Here is a 20,179-nt window from a genome sequence, read left to right as displayed (position 1 = left end):
CTTTGGTTTTATACCTAACTAAGGAGTGCTCGGGGTGAACTGTATATCAGCATTTTAAAAAATCTAATATCCTTTTGTCCTACACAGAAATGCTCAGAGATCACTGACTTTTTTTTTTTTTTTTTTTTTGAAAGAGAAAGAGTCTCCCTCTGTCACCCAGGCTAGAGTGCAGTGGCCTGATCTCAGATCACTGCAACCTCCACCTCGTGGGTTCAAGGAATCCTCCTGCCTCAGCCTCCTAAGTAGGGGGGACCCCAGGCGTGTGCCACCAGGCCCAGCCAACTTCTGTATTTTTAGTAGAGACGAGGTTTCACCATGTTGGCCAGGCTGGTCTTGAACTCCTGACCTCAGGTGATCCGCTCGCCTCGGCCTCCCAAAGTCCTGGGATCATAGACGTGAGCCACCGCGCCCGGCTGAGCTCACTGACTTTTAAATGAAGAGAACGAAGTACAAAAAAGTGACATGAATCATCTACTCTGCAGTAGGTAAGAGATCAGGAACAAAAACCCACATCAGTCCAGTATCCTTTCCACAGTAAAATATCTTATCCCTAACACAGTGTGAGATATTCAGTGATCTCTCTATACCTCTATGCTCTATAATCATATTCAGCAACGTGAATATTTTTTCTCACCAGAAATGATCTCTCCTCTGCTCTTAAAATTCCCACCTATATTTCTAAGACAACTCAAATCCCACTTTCTCCATCGAACTTTCCCTGACCAGGCCAGCTTGGTGAGTTCCTCTCCATATCTGAGTTCACACGGTATCACCATTTTTGCCTTTCACTTAACATTGATTAAATGCAGCATTTTGCCAGTTCTGGTCTGCTGTTTTGAGCTGCTGTTTATCCCTCAGCATCCCAGGGGCTGTTTCATCGCCATGGAGGGTAATCAATGATTTTCTTTTTTGTGTCTACTGAGTACAAGCTACGCACTACCCCACGGCTACAAAAAGAGGCTCTCATTCTCACAGTACATACAGTTTCACTGGGGCACTGCAGGCACACACATCTGAAAAGTCATATGCAGCAGAAAGCTATCTAAAATGAAAAGAATAGCACAGACAGGAAGTATTCAATGTGTGGAGAAAGGGAGCTCAGGCTGGGCTGAGGAAGAATCCGAGGAGGATTTGGGTCTTGAGATGGTTGTTGAAAATGGGAAAGTGGCCAGATGAGAGGAGAGAAGAAGAGGAGAATAGAGGGGGCCTGGCATTCCAGATGATCAAAGGCACAGAGCAGAAATGAACAAAACCCCACTGGAGGGGAGTGAGTGGATCCGCCTCACCAAAGTGGAAGGCCCAAATTAGGTAACAAACAGGAGATATGTTTGGAAAGTGAAGATGGGAACAGACTACCAAAGGCCTTGAGCGCCCAAGCTAAAACATCTGGACTTTATCCTATGAAGAGTGAATACCATTAAAAGTGCATGAGCAGAGAAGAGACAGCGTAAATATAAGAAACTGTCATCTGAAAGCTCACTCCTAGAGAGCTCTCAAATGGGAAAGATTCTATTCAGTTCTGCCTAGAGACAGCAACATGGACCACATGATTTCTTCCAGTCTAAATGTGAAAACCATGATGTCACACCCAGCTCACTGGTCTTCCAGAGCCCATCTGCCAACCAGTTCATACCAATCGGCTTTCTTCTTTCTGTTTGTAGCTCTTGCTTTGATCCTCCTCACTCTCCTTCTTCCCATCTAAATATTCTCCAAGTGCTTCCCTGTGATGGAAAAAAGCAGAGAAAATGAAGTTATTTCTAATACGTAAATTCTATATTTAAAGGTTTTGGCCTGGCACAGTAGCTCATGCCTGTAATCCCAACAGTTTGGGAGACCAAGACAGGAGGATTGCTTAAGGCCAGGAGTTCAAGATCAGCATGGCCAAAATAGCAAGACCCCCATCTCTATTTATGTAAAACAATAATAATAATAATAATAATAATAATAATGGTTCCATTGTACTTCATATATAAATATATATTCCATATGGATTAAAATTTAAATATTGGCCAGGTGCAGTGGCTCACACCTGTTAATCCCAGCGCTTTGGGAGGCCAAGGCAGAAGGACTGCTTTAAATCAGGAGTTTGAGACCAGCCTGGGCAACATAGAGAGACACTATCTCTATCATTTAAAAAACTTAAATATTAAAAAAACTGCAATCATAAAAACACTAGAAGTAAATACAGGAGAATATCTATATAATCTTAGCATAGAAAACCCATCTTTGAATAAGACCAAAGTCAGAAAATAAAAAGATTAAAAGATTTTACTTTCTAAAATTTAGAAATTTTATCCTTGAAAGTCAAGGGATAAACTGATAAAAGATATTTGACAAAATTTTACTATCCATAAAATAGGAAGGGCTCCTTCAAATCAATAAACAAAAGACAAAATACCAAAGAGAAAAACTGGCAGAGGATATGAACAGGCAGTTTCCCAAAGAAATACAAATGGCAAATAGGCATTTGAAAATATGGTCAGCTTCACATATAATCAGAGAAACCAAAACCCTGTGAGGTGTCATTACTCTATTATGAGACTAAAAAAGATTTTAAGGGTTGACAGTATCAGGTGGGAGCCCAGCTTTCCACATTCCATGGGTGGGAATGTAAAGTATAACAACGTGTCTAAAAGGCAATTCGGCAAGATTTGTCAAAAGCTTAAATGTGCCTTCCCTCTGACCCAACAATCCTTTCTTTAGGAATTTTTTACAGAAAGCCTTTACAAGTACATAAATAAATATGCACGAGAAAGATGATTGTAGCACTGACAATACTCGTAAGACCATGGAAACATTCTACATACATATTAGTAGCTGACTAATTAAGAGAAAACAATATTTCAGAAATACTTTGTAGCCTACAAAAAGAATGATGTAATACCTAACAGCAGGGAAAGATGTCCACAGCAGTTAAGTAAAGGGAGCCAGTTTTAGAAAAATATGTAGACTATAATACACATTTTCTTTTTAAAACAGGCTTGGCTGGGCGCGATGGCTCACGCTTGTAATCCCAGCACTTTGGGAGGCCGAGGCGGGTGGATCGCGAGGTCAGGAGATCGAGACTACCCTGGCTAACACGGTGAAACCCCGTCTCTACTAAAAATACAAAAAATTAGCCGGGCGTGGTGGTGGGCGCCTGTAGTCCCAGCTACTTGGGAGGCTGAGGCAGGAGAATGGCGTGAACCCGGGAGGCGGAGCTTGCAGTGAGCCGAGCCGAGATAGCGCCACTGCACTCCAGCCTGGGCGGGAGAGCGAGACTCTGTCTGAAAAACAAAAACAAAAACAAAAAACAGGCTTATATGTGCACAGGACATTTTCTGGAAGTATATATGACAAACGAATAACAGCAATTACTTAAAGAACAGGAATTAAATTACTGAGAAGTTCTATTTTCTACATTTTTGTATTGCATGAATTTTCTAAATAGTGCATGTGTGTGTGCTTGTCTGTGTGTGTGAATCAGAAAATGAGACTAAAGGGGCGGTGGCGAGATAAAGTTCCAGATTATAGACTTCTTCAGGGGAGGCATGGGGGAGTGACCTCACCAACCCCCACGCCACTTACATCATCAAGACCCTGCTCTCTCCTCTGGCACACAGTGTCCATAAGGGCTACCAGTACTGCCTTAGGAAAAATGAAACCTCAACATGACACAGCAGGTTTGTTTTTTTGTTTGGTTTCATTTCGTTTTTTGAGACGGAGTTTCGCTCTTGTTGCCCAGGCTGGAGTGCAATGGCGCGATCTCGGCTCACTGCAACCTCTGCCTCCTGGGTTCCAGCAATTCTCCCGCCTCAGCCTAGCAGATCTCTTTATCTCATTCTTTCTTGACTTTTTCTAACTCTGACTTCCATCTCTACTCCCTTTGTTCAAAGTCCAGGACAATCCTACCTAGTGTAACACTATTTTGGAGATACAGAATTGAGTTACCATCCTCCACTCCCAATCTAACCAAAACCCCTTGTTTTTTTCTTGTCATTTCATTGGCTTCCCTATTCTTATTGAACATGCTCTTTGTTTTCTTACCAAGTAAACTAATTGTTCCATTTTACTCAGGTCTTCAGCTATTGCCAGGCTTATCATGTTCCCATCACCACTCAAAAAATTCCCTTGACTTTCTACTTTGACCACCAATTAATGACCAACTCTATTTAAATAATCCCTTCCAAGTGCTTTCTGGATCAAAGATCAGTGCTTCAGAAACAAACAAACAACAACAACAACAAAAAAACCATGCAGTCCAGATATGCTATAATTTTTTTTTTTTTTAAGACAGAGTCTTGCTCTGTCCCCAGGCTGCAGTGCAGTGGAGCCATCTCGGCTCACTGCAACCTCCGCCACCCAGGTTCAAGTAATTCTGCTGACTCAGTCTCCCGAGTAGCTGGGACGACAAACACGCACCACCACACCCAGCTAACTTTTGTATTTCTAGTAAAGATGGGGTTTCACCATGTTGGCCAGTCTGCAGATATGCTATAAATTCTTATTAACTACTATTAACTTAAATCTCATCATTGTCTTTTATGCATCATTTTTTACTGCTTAGCACTGTACTGTCCAATATGGTAGCCAATAACCACATGTGGCTATAAAGCACTTGAAATGTGCCTGGTGCAAATTGAAATGCGCTATGAGTGTAAAATACACTCTAGATGGATTTTGAAGACTTTGAACAAAAAATATTTGCAATATATCTCATCAGTATGATTTACACTGATTGCATATTAAAATAATACTTTTATATATTGGGTTAAATAAATTATTAATTTCACCTGTTCTGTTTTTACCACTTTCAATGTGGCTACTAGAAAACTTGAAATGACATATGTGGCTGATACTGTATTTCTGTTGTTCAGCAGTGTAGAACTAGTATGTTCTCCAAAGCAACTGTTTCAGACTTCTGTCTATTCAGATTTGAGCTCCCTCCCTCCTGGGGGCTGAGTCCTCTTTTGGGAAGCTGTTTCCTCACCACCGCCCCATGTTTGTGGTCTAAATGGGAGCTGCCATCTTGAATACTCTACTTCCTGACCAATTCTCAGGATTTAAAAAAATTGGAACTTGGTTGATTGTCTACCTGGGTTTAGAGTTCTAGGTTGGAAATAACTTTCCTTCACTGCTTCCTTCCAGTGTTGCTAACTGAGAAACCTGAAGTCATTCTGTCTTTATGCCTTTCTTTGTATGTGACCATATTTTTGTTTTTTATATGTGACCATGTTTTTGTTTTGTTTTGTTTTGTTGTGTTTTGTTTTGTTTCACTCTGGAAGCTCGTAGGCCCTTTCTCTTTATTCTCAGTGTTCTGAACTTTCTCAATGGTGTGCCTTAGGGTGGGTCTATTTTCATCCATTGTGCTAGACATTTCAATCAGGAACCTCATGATCTTCAGGTCTGAGACATGTTCTTGAATTCTTTCCATGATAATATGCTCCCTGCTCCATTCTTTCTGGATCTAGAAAAGTGATAATATCTTCTAATTAAAAAAAAATATTTTTCTCTGGCTGGGTGCAGTGGCTCATGCCTGTAATCCCAGCACTTTGGGAGGCCAAGGCGGGTGGATCACCTGAGGTAAAGAGTTCGAGACCAGCCTGGCCAACATGGTGAAACCCTGTCTCTACTAAAAATACAAAAATTAGCCGGGCATAGTGGCAGGTGTCTGTAATCCCAGCTATTTGGGAGGCCAAGGCAGGAGAATTGCTTGAACCCAGGAGGCAGAGGTTGCAGTGAGCCGAGATCATGCCATTGCACTCCAGCCTGGGCAACAAGAGTGAAACTCCGTATCAAAATTAATAATAATAATAATAATAATAATAATAATAATAATATTTTCTCTATAAGTTTCTACCTTTTTTCTTTGCGCTCTATTTTCTAGGTGATTTCATCATCTTTATTTTCCAACCCTTCTAATGTTTTCTATTTCTATAATTTTTTTATTTCTAAGAGCTCTATTTTTTTTCTCTGAACACTCCTTTTAGTAGCATTCTATTCTTGTTTCGTGGTTGCCATATCATCTCTTTTTTCTTTGAGGATCTTTTTTTTCCCTCTTTTTCCCCCAAAGACTTCAAAACTCTCTCTGAGGATCTGAATGATCATCTTTTTGTGGTATTCTTGTTTTTTTCTCCCCACATATAGTCTTAATGTCCTCTTAGGTGCTTTTTTCTCTTTGTTAATTTTCATATCTACCATTCATGTTAAAGACTTTCCTCAGATGCCTAGAAATCCTCAGTTACTGACTCATGACAAGAACTAAAAAGCCTATGAAAAAATTAAAACATGGGTTAAAAATAAATAAACACTGTTTTACGTGGAAAAAATCAAGCTAATGATAAAACAACTCTTATGAGGTAGCTTTTAAAGCTGTTTTCACTTATATCATGTAATTTTAGAACTTTGAGTTCCATTATTCTAGTTGTTGCTGAATGTGTCTATTGCTCTTATTTTCAAAATGTTCTCCAAATTCTTGCCTATCTTGTCTGAGATGTACCAAAGACCTAAAGCTATAAGTATAATGGTAACTTCCATGACAACTTGGGAAAAGGATACTAATACTACCAATTTTACATGTCACCATCTTCACAGTAGCTACCTAGTTGTTGTTAAAGAAACAGCTGCCTTTAAAAAAAAACTACATAAAGGATGGTTTGTTTTGGTTATGTGTACATAAACACACCTGATTATACAGAATCCAAGAATTTAGAGAAAATAAGGACAAATTAGTATCATTTCAATCTAAGTCCCTAGCCATTTGGAAGCTTGTAATATGGTGTCAGGATAAAGCAGAAAAAATAAATTTTAATAGTGTGACAAATAAAAATTTAAACATTAAAAACAAGCTGATGGGGCTGAGCACAGTGGCTCATGCCTGTAATCCCAGCACTATGGGAGGCCAGGGCAGGAGGACCACTTGACCCAGGAGTTTAAGACTAGCCTGGGCAACATAGCAGGACTCCATCTCTAAAAAAAAAAAAAAAATTAGCCGGGCATGGTGGCCTGCACCTGTAGTGCCAGACACTCAGGAGGCTGAGGCAGGAGGACTGCTTGAGCCCAGGATTCAAGGTTATACTAAGCTATGATCAAACCACTGCACTCCAGCCTGGGCAATGGAGTGAGACTCTGTTGCTTAAAAAATAAATAAATAAATAATAAAAATAAATTTTTTTTAAAGCTGACGGGAGCTGTGAGTACAAGGGTGTGGCTTAACAACTGTGCATGTCAGCGTGGGCTGATTTAATCGGGCTGCTTTGTGAGCAAACCCGATGTTAGTGTCTTTATTATTTTTATTTTATTTTATTTTATTTTTGAGACAGAGTCTCCCTCTGTCACCCAGGCTGGAGTGTAGTGGCACGATCTCGGCTCACTGCAACCTCCGCCTCCCAGGTTCAAGCAATTCTCGTGCCTCAGCCTCCCAAGTAGCTGGGATTACAGGCATGCACCACCACGCCGCTAATTTTCATATTTTTAGTAGAGACGGGGTTTTACCATGTTGGCCAGGCTGGTCTCAAACTCCAGACCTCAGGTTATCCACCCCTCTTGGCCTCCCAAAGTGCTGGATTACAGGCATGAGCCACTGTGCCCAGACCAACATTAGTGTCTTTAAATCCTTCTTTTGGGGCTGGTCGGATTCCACAGAGAAACTTCTCCAGCCTCCTGCCTGGAATATGAAGGCTGAAGTGCCACCATTCCAGGAACTGGTGAGAGGAGAGCTGGAAGGTCCTGGCATCCACTGTGCATATTTTCCCTGAATCCCCTTATTTTCCATGAAGTATCCTTGCCTCGCCTCTGTCTAGCATCCCCCAAGCCCTAGATCCTCCGCTTGACTTTCTCCAAACCTCCAATCTTCTGTGCAAAGAGAGAGAAAGGTTCTAGGCATCTACCTATTAATTTTCCAATCGGTTGTCCTTATTTTGGTTCCCTTTGTCACCTCCACTTCTAGATGTCAACTGAAAAAGAGTCAGAATCCACAAAATCAAAAGAGAACTTTATTTCTAAAGGACACAACCTGCAGGCAGGAAGCAAGCTTTCAACTGAGACTGAGAAGCAGGCTTTGAAGGGGAGAAAATAAGGCAGATATTTCTGCTAGGTGAGGAGGTAGGAAACGCATATTCTACAGGATATAGGAGAAGGTTGTGAATATTTACGGAGAAAACTCATTACGCACGTGCATTAGGCTTACATGTGCACGGAACATACAACAATATGCTACTCATGTTCACTTTGGGGTGGAGATTTAACATTTAAATGTACTACAATTGGGTCATAAATGCAAAAAGGTGATGCTTAGGGCACAAGTCCAGGATCTGTGCAGTCTCAGGGAACCGGTCCAAACTGGCCTGAAGTTGGCAGTCGTCCAGGAAGAGGTCTCTGTGGTCCAGGGTTGTTGTCAGGTTGGAACCATAAACATGAGGAGGAGGGTGCCGGGTGGTCGGACGAAGTAAGCCAAGGAGTCTTCTGGCCTTTTGTCATCTTCAGGTCAGCCTTTGATAAGACCTCATAATAATTAGTAAAGGGACGGGGGTAGCAGGAAGTGGACATGTCCAGTCTCCTGTCACTGCTAAGGGCTAAGAACTTTGAGGTCTCTCGGCCACAGAGGTCCTGTCACTCCATTGGAAGGGCCATAGGATTTTTTAAATCCTCACGGATGAATATGATATGCCATCAGTCTCCTAGTCTTTGGGGATTTAGTGCAGAGTAAATCAAGGGGGTTCTCAGCTTTCTTCACTATCAGCTTATTTTTCCATCTTCTTGAATCTGCTCACCCATTTACCATCTATCTTGTGCTTCCCAGCATCCACAATTTCATTGCTGTTGAGTCCTCCTGATCTTGACTTTGTGGATTTGCGTCTTTTTTACTTAATCCCCTTAAATATCATTTTAATGGAGTTAAAATGATAGAGATCTAAGGTAGATGTATGTGTTCCATCTCGCATCTTTACCCAGAAGTGACATCTCCCGGCTGGGTGTGGTGGCTCACACCTATAATCCCAGCACTTTTCGAGGCTAAGGTGGCAGGATCACTTGAGCTCTGGAGTTCAAGACCAGTCTGGGCAACATGGTGAAACCCCATCTCTACCAAAAATACAAAAAATTAGCGGGGTATGGTGGTGTGCACCTGTGGTCCCAGCTACTCGAGAGGCTGGGGTGGGGGGGATCACTTGAGTCTAGCTGGTGGAAGTTGCAGTGAGCCAAGGTCACACCACTGCATTCCAACCCGGGTGACAGAGTGAGACCCTGTCTCAAAAAAAAAAAAAAAAAAAAAAGGAAAGTGACATCTCCCAGAAATGTCAAACCTAAACTAAGACACCAGAGATTGGGAGTATCAGGGCCATTAGCACATTATTCCTATTCTTTTTGGTTTTTTTGAGAAGGAGTCTCGTTCTGTCATCCAGGCTGGAGTACAGTGGCTCGATCTTGGCTCACTGTAACCTCCACCTCCCGGTGTTCAAGCAATTCTCATGCCTCAGTCTCCTGAGTAGCTGGGATTACAGGAGTGTGCCACCAAGCCAGGCTAATTTTTTGTCTTTTTAGTAGAGACAGGGGTTTCACTATGTTGGCCAGGCTGGTCTCGAACTCCTGGCCTCAAGTGATCCACCCACCTCAGCCTCCCAAACTGCTAGGATTATAGGCGTGAGCCACCACGCCCGGCTGTACTCTTTATATGACATTTGATTCTGTTAACTTTCACCTTAACATTACACCTCATGACATAAGAAGGCCCAGGCAGCAACAGCAGTGGGTATCACAGGCAACCGAGGGGTGGGTGCACTGCCTATAGGTAAAGTAAAAACAATACAACTGCTTTTTATTATCACATGTGCCAGCAATTCGAAACAATGTCAGTAGTAAAATATTCCTTTCTGAAAAAGCTCTTGTCAATCTAAGTTCTGATCCATTGCTGCAATTACTGTTGGCTATTAATAATATATATGTAAGCTTCAATATAACATATTTTAATCTCTTTTCCTTTAATTAACAGAGAAGTTAATTCAGGGAGCTTCCAGGCTCGCACAGACTCAGCTGCATGCATTTGTTTTGAGAGCACATTGAAATGGTACAGAATGGTCCCAGCTCACTTACGCACAATGCGCGGCCCCAACCACTAATAAAGAATAGAGGCAGGGCGCAGTGGCTCACGCCTGTAATCCCAGCACTTTGGGAGGCTGAGGCAGGTGGATTGCCTGAGGCCAGGAGTTCGAGACTAGCCTGGCCAACATGGTGAAACCCCGTCTCTCCTAAAAATAAAAAATTAGCTGGGTGTGGTGGCAGCTGCCTGTAATCCCAGTTACTCGGGAGGCTGAGCCAGGAGAATCACTTGAACCTGGGAGGTGGAGATTGCAGTAAGCCAAGACTGCGCCACTGCATTCCTGCCTGCATAGACAGAGTGAGACTCGGCCTCAAAAAAAAAAAAAAAAAAAAAAAAGATATAGCCTTTAAAAAAAAAAAACAAGACCACCATACCATTATCATAGCCAAAAAGTTCCTTAATATAATTGAATGCCCAGTACAACTCTTTACATTGACAGCTCTTTCTCACCCTCACTGACCACCTACCTTCAGGTGCCACATCTATTATTCTTCATATTTGCTCATTGCTTGTTTCCGTTAGGATTCTTTTCAAAATGTATAATTATGTTATTTGTTTACTTGTTTAGTTGCACTTTATTTTTTCCCATCTCCCTCATTAGAATATAAGCTTCCTGAGAACAGAGATTATATTTGCCTTGTTTATCATAGAATCCCCAGCACAACTGCCAAGGTCAGAGTAGCAGACAAGGGCTTGATCCACAGAGAGTTTTAAAGATGGCTTACAAAATATGGCATCATTTGGTGCAAAACGAAAGGGCAGCCAACAAGAATACAACTCATAGGTGCTCACCAAAGAAAGCAGCAAAGGATAAATAGGCTAAGGGTGCACGCTGGTAAAGATTCATGCTCCCTTGCCCAATTCCTGAACCTAAGCCAGTGTTCAGAGCCAGAATCTATTGACTGAAGAGGCAGCAGGGTCCCCACAAGGAAGGATCTGGAACACAACGGCAAATATATATTGTAATGATTCCCCCAGTTCTTCCCCAAAGGGGCCTAGGGTCATCTACTCAGGAGGGCTGCACAATAAGGAAAGAGGATACCCAGAAATGTTTAGGATTAGAACAGGGTCTGAGTTACCATTGACACCCAGAGACCCAAAGCATGCTCCCACCCACTTAGAGTGAGGACACAGGGGAGGCAAAGTCCTACTTACAGAGGGTCTGCCAAGTCTGTGGACTCAGCCAGCAATCATGTCTCTAATGGCCAAAAGTATAATTGGGACCTACATACTTAGAAGTTTGAAAAACTCCACTCCTTGGCCTATAAATAGAGCTACCATAGTGGGGAAGGCCAAAAGGACATCTCTGAAACTGCACCTCAGTACACAAAAAAAAATATTGCCACCCAGGGGTGTTGGTGGGGATTAGTGCCACCCTGAAGTATCTCAACGATGCAGGAATGGTGATCCCTATTGAATCTCCTTTTAATTCATGGGTCTGGCACCTGCAGAAACTGGATCCTAGAAAGTGACTGTCAACTACCAGAAGCTCCACAGGTAGCACTCCTGAACACAGCATCTATGCAAGTGTGGTAAGCTTCACTAGAGCAAATTTGTACAGCCTCAGGCACAGTATGTGTGGCTACTGATTGGGCCAAATGCATGCTTTTCTACCTCAATCAGGAAAAATAATCAGGAAGTTCACATTTACATGGAACAGACAATGATATACACTCACAAGTCGGTCACACTCACAGGACCATGGTAGTTCTCCTGATCTCTGTCATAATATATTCTGAATATATCAGGGACATCTGGATATCCCAGAGAACATCACAATGATCCATTACTTCAGCACTGGCAAACTATGGCCTGTGGGACAGATCCAGTCCACCACCTGTTTTTGTATGGCTTCCAGGCAAATAATGATTTTTACAATTTTTTTTTTTTGAGACAGAGTCTCGCTCTGTCGCCCAGGCTGGAGTGCAATGGCACGATCTCAGCTCACTGCAACCTCCGCCTCCTGGGTTCAAGCGATTCTCCTGCCTCAGTCTCCTGAGTAGCTGGGATTACAGGCGCGCGCCACCATGCCTGGCTAATTTTTGTATTTTTAATAGAGACAGGGTTTCACCATGTCGGTCAGGCTGGTCTCAAACTCCTGACCTCGTGATCCCGCCCGCCTCAGCCTCCCAAAGTTTTGGGATTACAGGCATGAGCCACTGCGCCCGGCCCAATTTTTTTTTTTTTTTTTTTTGAGATGGAGTTTTGTGCTTGTCACCCAGGCTGGAGTGCAGTGGCGCTATCTCAGCTCACTGCAACCTCTGCCTCCCAGGTTCGAGCAATTCTCCTGCCTCAGCCTCCCAAGTAGCTGAGATTACAGGTGCCTGCCACCACACCTGGCTAATTTTTGTATTTTTAGTACAGACAGGGTTTCGCCATGTTGGCCAGGCTGGTCTTGAACTCCTGACCTCAGGTGATCCTCCTGCCTTGGCCTCCCAAAGTGCTGGGATTACAGGCATGAGCTACGATTTTTTACAATTTTAAATGGTTTTTACAATTTTAAATGATTTTTACAATTCTAAATGGTTAATAAATAAATGGTTAAAAAAAGACTAGGATGAATAAGCAGAGCACAGGGGATTTTTAGGGCAGTAAAAATATTTGGTATAATACTATACTGGTGGGCTCGTGTCACCATAAATTTATCCAAACCCATAGGATGTACAACACCAAAAAGAAACCCTAAGGTAAACAATGGAGTTCAAGTGATAACGATGCGCCAAGGTTCATATATTGTTACAAATGTGCCCTCCAGTGCAGGATGTTGACAGTAGCTGTGCATGTGTGGGGGCAGGGAGTATATGCGAATGCTATACTTTTTGATCAGTTTTGCTGTGGTCCTAAAAACTGCTCTAAAAAATAAAGTTTATTATTATTTTTTATCAAAAGAAGGCTATTTTGTGATACATGAACAGTATATGAAATTCAAATTTCAGTGTCCATAAATAAAGCTTTATTGGAACACAGTCATGCCCATTTGTTTATGTCTTGCCTGTGGCTGCTTTTGCAATACAATGGCAATTGAGCAGCTAGGAAAGAGGCCATATGATCCGAAAAGCCTAAAATATTTACTATTTGGCCCTTTACTGAAAGGGTTTGCCGGCCCCTGCATTCCACTGATGGCCCCGCAGCAATCAGCCAGGGTGAGCGAGTGATGGAAACACACTGCAGGGCTTGGTAAGACATGTGTGCTCCAGACGGTGGGCAATCAACCCTATGAAGGCCCAGGGACTGCCATGTCATTCAAGTTTGTAGGGGTCCAGTGGTCAGTGGGATGCTGGGATAGCCTATCAAGTAAAAAACAAATCTACTGCATTTTGCATCCTCTACAGAGAAGGAAACTCAATGCCTCTTAGGCCACTTTGGGTCCTAGAGACAATACATCCCGCACTTAGGAATATTATTCAGGCTGACACAAAAAGCTGCCAGCTTTGAGTGGTGCCTGGAACAAGAAAGGACCCAGGCCACAGTGTAAGCAGCCAGGCTACTTGGGCCACATGATCCAGCAGACCCTGTGGTTTGGAGGTGTCCGTAGTGGAAAAGATGCCATGTGCAGACCACAGTCGAACGCCACCACGCCCGATTAATTGTTTGATGTTTTATAGAGATGGGGTCTCTCTATGCTGCCCAGGTTGACCATCTCCAACTCCTGGGCTCCAGTGATCGGCCCGCCTCGGCCTCCCTAAGTGCTGGGATGACAGGCGCGCGCCACGGCACCGGCCCAGCGTTTTACTTTCCCATACTCTGCCTGAACCTTCCCGAAGAAATGTTTCTATTTCATCAGGAAACCAGCCCTTCTCCGGCTCCTGCGGCGCGGATCCCGCCCCGCCCGCCCCCGCGCTCACCGCCTCCGGGCTTCTAAGCGCGCAGCGATGCGGAGGCGCCGGGCCTGGATGCGCTCCTGAGAGTTGTCGGAGTGGACCGAGGGCGCGAGAATCTGGGTGGACAAGTGCTCGTCCACGTTCGGGTCCAGGGCCTCTAGGGACCCCGGCGGATTCATGGCAGGAGTCCCTGGTCCCTAGGCGGCTCCCTCCGCACCACCTCCAGACCTCAGGCTGGTTGCTAGGAACAAACCGTTGCCAGGGAGAGCGGTCACCGGAGCCACAGCCCGAGTGGTTGCGCGCGCAGCTCCCTGGGCCCAGCCTGCCGCCAGCCGCCGTTCCGGCCGAGCATCCCAGCCTCGGGCTGACGCCTCTCCCGCCCGTGGGATGTCAGGTCTGTTGTCAGGCCCACGAAGGCCCGGTCGTGTTAGCGGAGCTGTGGAGTCTCACCAGGAGACTAGAGGACTAAAGAACTGGACCAAGTTGTGGTTCATCACTTGCTGACCCTGATGATTAATTCATCTTCCATTCATTCATCAAATATTCCTCCAACTCATATTCACCAAATAAAATTGAGCGCCTACTCGATGCCAAGCGCTGTGCTTGGATACAGGATACCAACCTGCAATCAAATACTTATGAAAGAGGAAAAGTGGAATAGAGGAAAACAGTCCGTGGGAGGGGGGAGGGATAAAAGTTAGAAATGCGGAAGCACTATTAAATTCTCAACTGTCCCCAGAAAGGCGCTATCTTCTGGGCGTCTCATTGTCAACAAAAATAGTGTTCTCATTGAGAATTAAAACCTGGCGCGCTGGCTCATGCCTCAGCCTCCCAACACTTTGGGAGGCCGAGGTGGACAGATCACTTGAGGTCAGGAGTTTGAGACCAGCCTGGTGAACATGATGAAACCCCGTCTCTACTAAAAATACAAAAATTAGCTGGGTATGGTGGTGGGCACCCATAATCCCAGCTACTCGGGAAGCTGAGGCAGGAGAATCGCTTGAATCTGGGAGGTGGATGTTGCAGTGAGCCGAGATCGAGCCACTGCACTCCATCCTGAGCAATAGAGCAAGACTCTGTCTCAAAAAAACCCAACCAACCAACCAAACAAAAACTGGATACCATTTAACAGGGTTCTGTCCCATTAGCCCGTGGGGAATTAAGGGCACTGGATGAGCAGTGAGAAAGGGTGAGTACTAGTCCTAGCCCTGCCCTGCCACCTTGGGCAAGTCACAACTTCTTGAGGAGCATTTTCTCAGCTGTTAAATGATGCAACCCACAGACAACTGTGCGGCCAAGACGACCCGTCCTTTGTGAGTAAGAACTGCCCAGAGGCAAATGGAGTGGGTTTTTAAAATCAGTTCTTCCACGTTTGCAAGCAGTAGAGAGGTTTAGGAATGCCAAAACCATCCAACAGCTATAGAGTCTAACAGCAGCTGCCTGGATCCTTGTCTCACACCTGCCTAGGTGGTGGTGGTAGGAGCGGGGGTACTTGCTTCTAGGCTTCAGGGCCTTCTGCCAGATCTCTGTCTCCTTTGGTTGAAACCTAAAGTATTAAACTCTCCTAGGAGCCATGATACAGCTCTGACCAAAAACTCGTCCAGGTCCTGGTTCATGTTTCCACTATCCGTAAGGACAGAAACAAGCATGTGTGCATGCGCATGTCTATGCCTGGGAGTGGGATACCATGAGAAAGTCAGGGGGAATCAGCTGTTGCACAAGAGGTAAGTGAGAGCAAAGGTACCATACAAACCCATGAAGAGTGACCAGTGAGATACTTGGCCCTGCACTGTTCTGATACCACTTCCAACATCTTTTTATATAAGAAATCTGACTCCATTTTTTGCTGCTGACATTTGGCTGCTGGCAGCTTTTACGCAGCACTCCCTCTTTCTTCTCCACATCTGGGCAAGCTGTTAAAAAAAGCCTAGGTGCTCTTTTTGGTGCTGGCAGATTTCATCTGCGTGCACAGGATACCCTCCTCCCAGCCTCACCCCTTAACCACAATAAAAGCCCCAAGCTTGTCTCCTTTCCTGGCTCTCTCTAGCCATTTTCTGACCAGCTGGGAGGCCCTCTTTGCTCCCACAGGCAGCCTCAATTATGTAATAAACCTTTTTCACTGGTGTGGGAAACACTTTCACTCACCGCTGGAAAGGGACCTCCTAGGAGGACAGTTTGCCAAAATCTATTAACTGTTTAAATTGGCATACTAGGGTAAAGGGTGGAATAGGGAGAGATTTGTTAAAGGATACAAAATGACAGGTTCTAGTGTTCTGCACCACTGGAGGGTGACTATAGTCAATAACATAGTTTCAAATAGCAACGAGGATATTGAGCATTCCCAACACAAAGAAATGACAAATGTTTGAGCTGATAGGCATGCTAATTACCAGACCTGATCACTATACATTATATGGATTGAAATATTACTATGTACCCCATAAACATATATAACTATTATTTCCTTTTTTTTTTTTTTTTTTTTTTTGAGACAGCGTCTTGCTCAATTGCCCAGGCTGGAGTGCAGTGGCATAGTCTTGGCTCACTGCAACCTCTACCTCCTGGGTTCGAGCGATCCTCCTTCCTCAACTTCCCAAGTAGCTGGGACTACAGGCGTGTGCCACCATGCCCAGCTAATGTTTATTGTATTTTTAGTAGAGACAGGGTTTTACCATGTTGGCCAGGGTGATCTCAGACTCCTGACCTCAGGCGATCCACCCGCCTCGGCCTCCCAAAGTGCCAGGATTACAGGCATGAGCCACTCCGCCCGGCCTGCCGAATTTTTTTAAATACTAAAAATTTTTTAAACTGAACAAAGGACAGAGAGAGGAAGAAATATTTTCATGGGGCAGACAACTGTGGTTGTAGAGGTCAAAGGAATGAAACAAAGAGACAAAGAAAAACCACTAAACAAGAAAGTCAGAAGACATGTAATGAATTATGATTAAATATAAATGGGAAAATGCATGCTTAATTTTCCATGCCTTTGTAAATAGTTCATAAGTGAGTTAAATTTAGAAAATTGTTAAAAACTGAAAAAACTAGATAAAAACATATTTATTTGTATACACACAAAAATAAATTAGCATATCCATTCACTAGGCAATTCTAGTTTAAAGATCATCACAAGGAGATCATGGATCTAGCTATAGCTCATTGGGGTCACAACTATATCAGTTTTATTCGGTATTTTATACATAGCACCTAGCACAATATTTGATATGTAGTAAGTGCTCAACAAACTTTTTTTGAAAGAAACGTATATAGATGTATCTGTATGTCCATTCCAGTTACTTGTAATATTAAAAAACTAGATATGACAAAATCCATCAATAGGGGAACCGATAAAAGAATCATGGGATTCTCTAACACAAGAATAAAGGTGACCTAGAAAGACATCCAAGATACATTACATGAGAAAGGGAAGAGGCAGGCAGCACAATATAGAGCCTAAGCCGAGTTTGATTTGAAATGTAGACAGTAGTACACAAGAAAAACAGGGGGAATACCACAAAGTAGTCAATATCCCTCAGGGGTGGGCTTATGGGTGATTTTCAGATTCCCTGAAGATTAAAAAAAAATGTTTACAATGAGGATAAATCCCTTTTGACTCAATAAAACATAAAGCTTATTTATTCATGTTTTTGTAAGAGAAATAACAGGAGACCCCCAAGAGAGTGAGGCAGGCAAGTAGGGCTGTTATAGATGAGAGGGACTTGGGGAAGGGAGGCAGGTGATGTCCATTCACCTTGATGACTGACCAGCATCTAGAGTGTGGTCCTCAACTGGTAGGCAATGCTGGTTCATACTAATAAGCTCATACAGGCCGGGCACGGTGGCTCATGTCTATAATCCCAGCACTTTGGGAGGCCAAGGTGGGTGGATCACGAGGTCAAGTTCGAGACCAGCCTGACCAACATGGTGAAACCCCATCTCTACTAAAAACACAAAAATTAGCTGGGTGTGGTGGTGCATGCCTGTAACTCCAGCTACTCAGGAGGCTGAGGCAGGAGAATCGCTTGAACCCGGGAGGCAGAGGTTGCAGTGAGCAGAGATTGCGCTCTAGCCTGGGTGACACAGCAAGACTCCATCTCACAAAAAAAAAAAAAAAAAAAAAAAAAAAAAAAAAAAGCTCATACAAAAGCCTGGCTGGCTCATACTAACAAGCTCACAAAAGAAAAACATAGAATTTCTTTTAGCAAGCAAGTACAACCATCACACAGGGCAGTGTGCATTTTCGTGCCTTTCGTGTAGATCAGCCCACAGAGATGTGCTGGTCACAAAGAGGATCAAACTCTGACTGGGAAGTCCCTTGATATGTAGGACTGACTGCCATGGTTCAGAGGCTCACAATGGGGATAATCTGCCACAAGCACAGTCGAGTTCCTCATCCCTGAGTAGGTTTTTGAGGAATCTGGCTATATGGGCTTCCCTTGCTAAGGAAGGTATGTGGGCATCCACCTTCAGCTTTTATAGCCTTTTTTCAAAACAAGAAGGATGAACAGATTTGATTTTATATCTTACTAAGTCTAGTCACACTTAATTCTACATCCAATAAGTTTACACTAACTCACCTTAATTGGAATGTGAGGATGCTGACAAATTCATCATTTAGACAACTTCTTAGGTTATTTCTATCTTTCGATTTGTGTGAATTTTACTAATTAGATTCTGAGAAGGCAATCTTACCAATTTTTAATTTGGGGAACTGCCTTACCATCATCTTCATATACTGCCTCAAAAGGCATGAAGGAGGAAAGAGAGGGGAGGAGGCATGGAAGTCATGAGCTGTGTCACATGGTTTAGAAAAAAAGTTCAAAGAAAAAAGACAGAGAACTAGATATTAGTAGAAACCAAGCACCTACCTTAGTCCACTGACTGTGCTAAACACCCTGCATGCATTATCCTCATTCAATCCTTCACATGGTGTAATAGTGGTAATATTGATCCCATTTTATAGATGAGGAAACTAAGGCTTAGAAAAAAGTAAAAAGCTCTTTCTTCAAAGTTTGCAGAGTTGAACATGACTAAGAAACAGCCATTGTATGAAAACTTTGGGAGGTTTTAAGAAAACTCTCAGAATGAAAAGAAGAAGAAAATTGAAGGAGCAGTTGTAAAGTTTTCTTTCAGGAAATTTGTGAACAGAGGAAAAAAGATGAGAGTGGGAAGAGAAGCAAGACCCTTTGGGGGCATAGGGTTTTTTTTTAAGTTTTGGTAGCCCCAAGAGTGGTTACGTAGTATCTACCTGGTATGTGTCATCAGGCACTCGGGAGGTGTTTGAGGTTTGCAGATAGAAGGGAGGGAATAACTGCTACCGCAACCAAGAGCGTGGGAGGGAAAGGGGTTAAGAGCGCACAGCTGGAGAACAGCCTGGGTTAAAACATGGGGCATTTTCTTCCTCATTGTCTTCAAGCCTGTTACTGAAATTTTTTTTTTCTTTTATCTTTTTTTTTGAGACAGAGTCTTGCTTTGTCACCCAGGCTGAAGTGCAGTGGCGCGATCTCAGCTCACTGCAACCTCTGCCTCCCGGGTTCAAGCGATTCTCCTGCCTCAGCCTCCTGAGTAGCTGGGACTACAGGTGCGGGCCACCACGCATCGCTAATTTTTTGTTACTTTTGGTAGAGATGGGGTTTCACTGTTAGCCAGGCTGGTCTCGATCTCTTGACCTCGTGATCCACCTGCCACGGCCTCCCAAAGTGCTGGGATTACAGGCGTGAGCCACTGTGCCTGGCCTGCAATTTTTTTTAAATGCCTACTGCCAGAGCTGGGAGATCGATGTAAAAATGGGAAATATTCTCCTCAGAAGCAATGTCATGTAATGGGAGTTATAGTTTCTATACTATAATCTAGACGTACTAAGTATGGTCTAACAGGTTTTTATGGGATTCGTCTGGAAAATTAATACCATATGTTAACACTCTTTCTATGGGAAAATGCTTCTGAGGAAGAAACCACCTTACAAACTAACTTAGGCGTGACCCAGTCATTATTAGACTATAGAGACTGCCACCACCCAGTTCTGGGCGAGTCAGGAGCAGTATACTATGAAAAGCTGTTACTGCCACCTGCCTCGTATTCTGCCTTTTGAAACAAGTCACAGGATCACAGAACGCCCAGGAGCAAGCGGCTGATCTCTCTAAAAACAGAACAAAACCTTTTCAGTGTTTTGCTTTAAAATAATCAATGATTCTCTGAGACAAGTGGCTGGACATTAGTTTTCTCCCCATAGCTCCCTCCCCTTTTGCACTTACCAAGGAAAACAAAGAAGACAATCTGAAAACAA

The 20,179-nt window shown here is 43.5% G+C and overlaps 1 protein-coding gene across 1 annotated transcript in view, besides 1 other annotated feature; it reads right to left on the bottom strand.

Moving 5' to 3' along the window:
- The window catches only part of DRC1 (dynein regulatory complex subunit 1), a 54,792-nt gene extending 40,647 nt beyond the window's left edge, over positions 1 to 14,145 (bottom strand). The window contains exons 1-2 of the mRNA NM_145038.5: positions 13,921 to 14,145; positions 1,634 to 1,721 (exon numbers count right to left, since the gene is read on the bottom strand). Coding sequence (NP_659475.2) covers positions 1,634 to 1,721; positions 13,921 to 14,075 — 243 coding nt within the window. The 5' untranslated portion in view covers positions 14,076 to 14,145. The remainder of the gene's footprint in view (positions 1 to 1,633; positions 1,722 to 13,920) is intronic.
- Positions 3,619 to 3,758: an enhancer, noted in NCBI's record as "active region_15472". NCBI's record gives its function as "activates an Ori minimal core promoter by ATAC-STARR-seq in GM12878 lymphoblastoid cells {active_cell/tissue: GM12878}" and the evidence as "EXISTENCE:reporter gene assay evidence [ECO:0000049][PMID:35858748]".

Source organism: Homo sapiens, chromosome 2 (genome assembly GCF_000001405.40).
Source record: "Homo sapiens chromosome 2, GRCh38.p14 Primary Assembly".
Classification (NCBI taxonomy): domain Eukaryota; kingdom Metazoa; phylum Chordata; class Mammalia; order Primates; family Hominidae; genus Homo; species Homo sapiens.
This window is presented reverse-complemented; position numbering and strand designations above follow the sequence as displayed.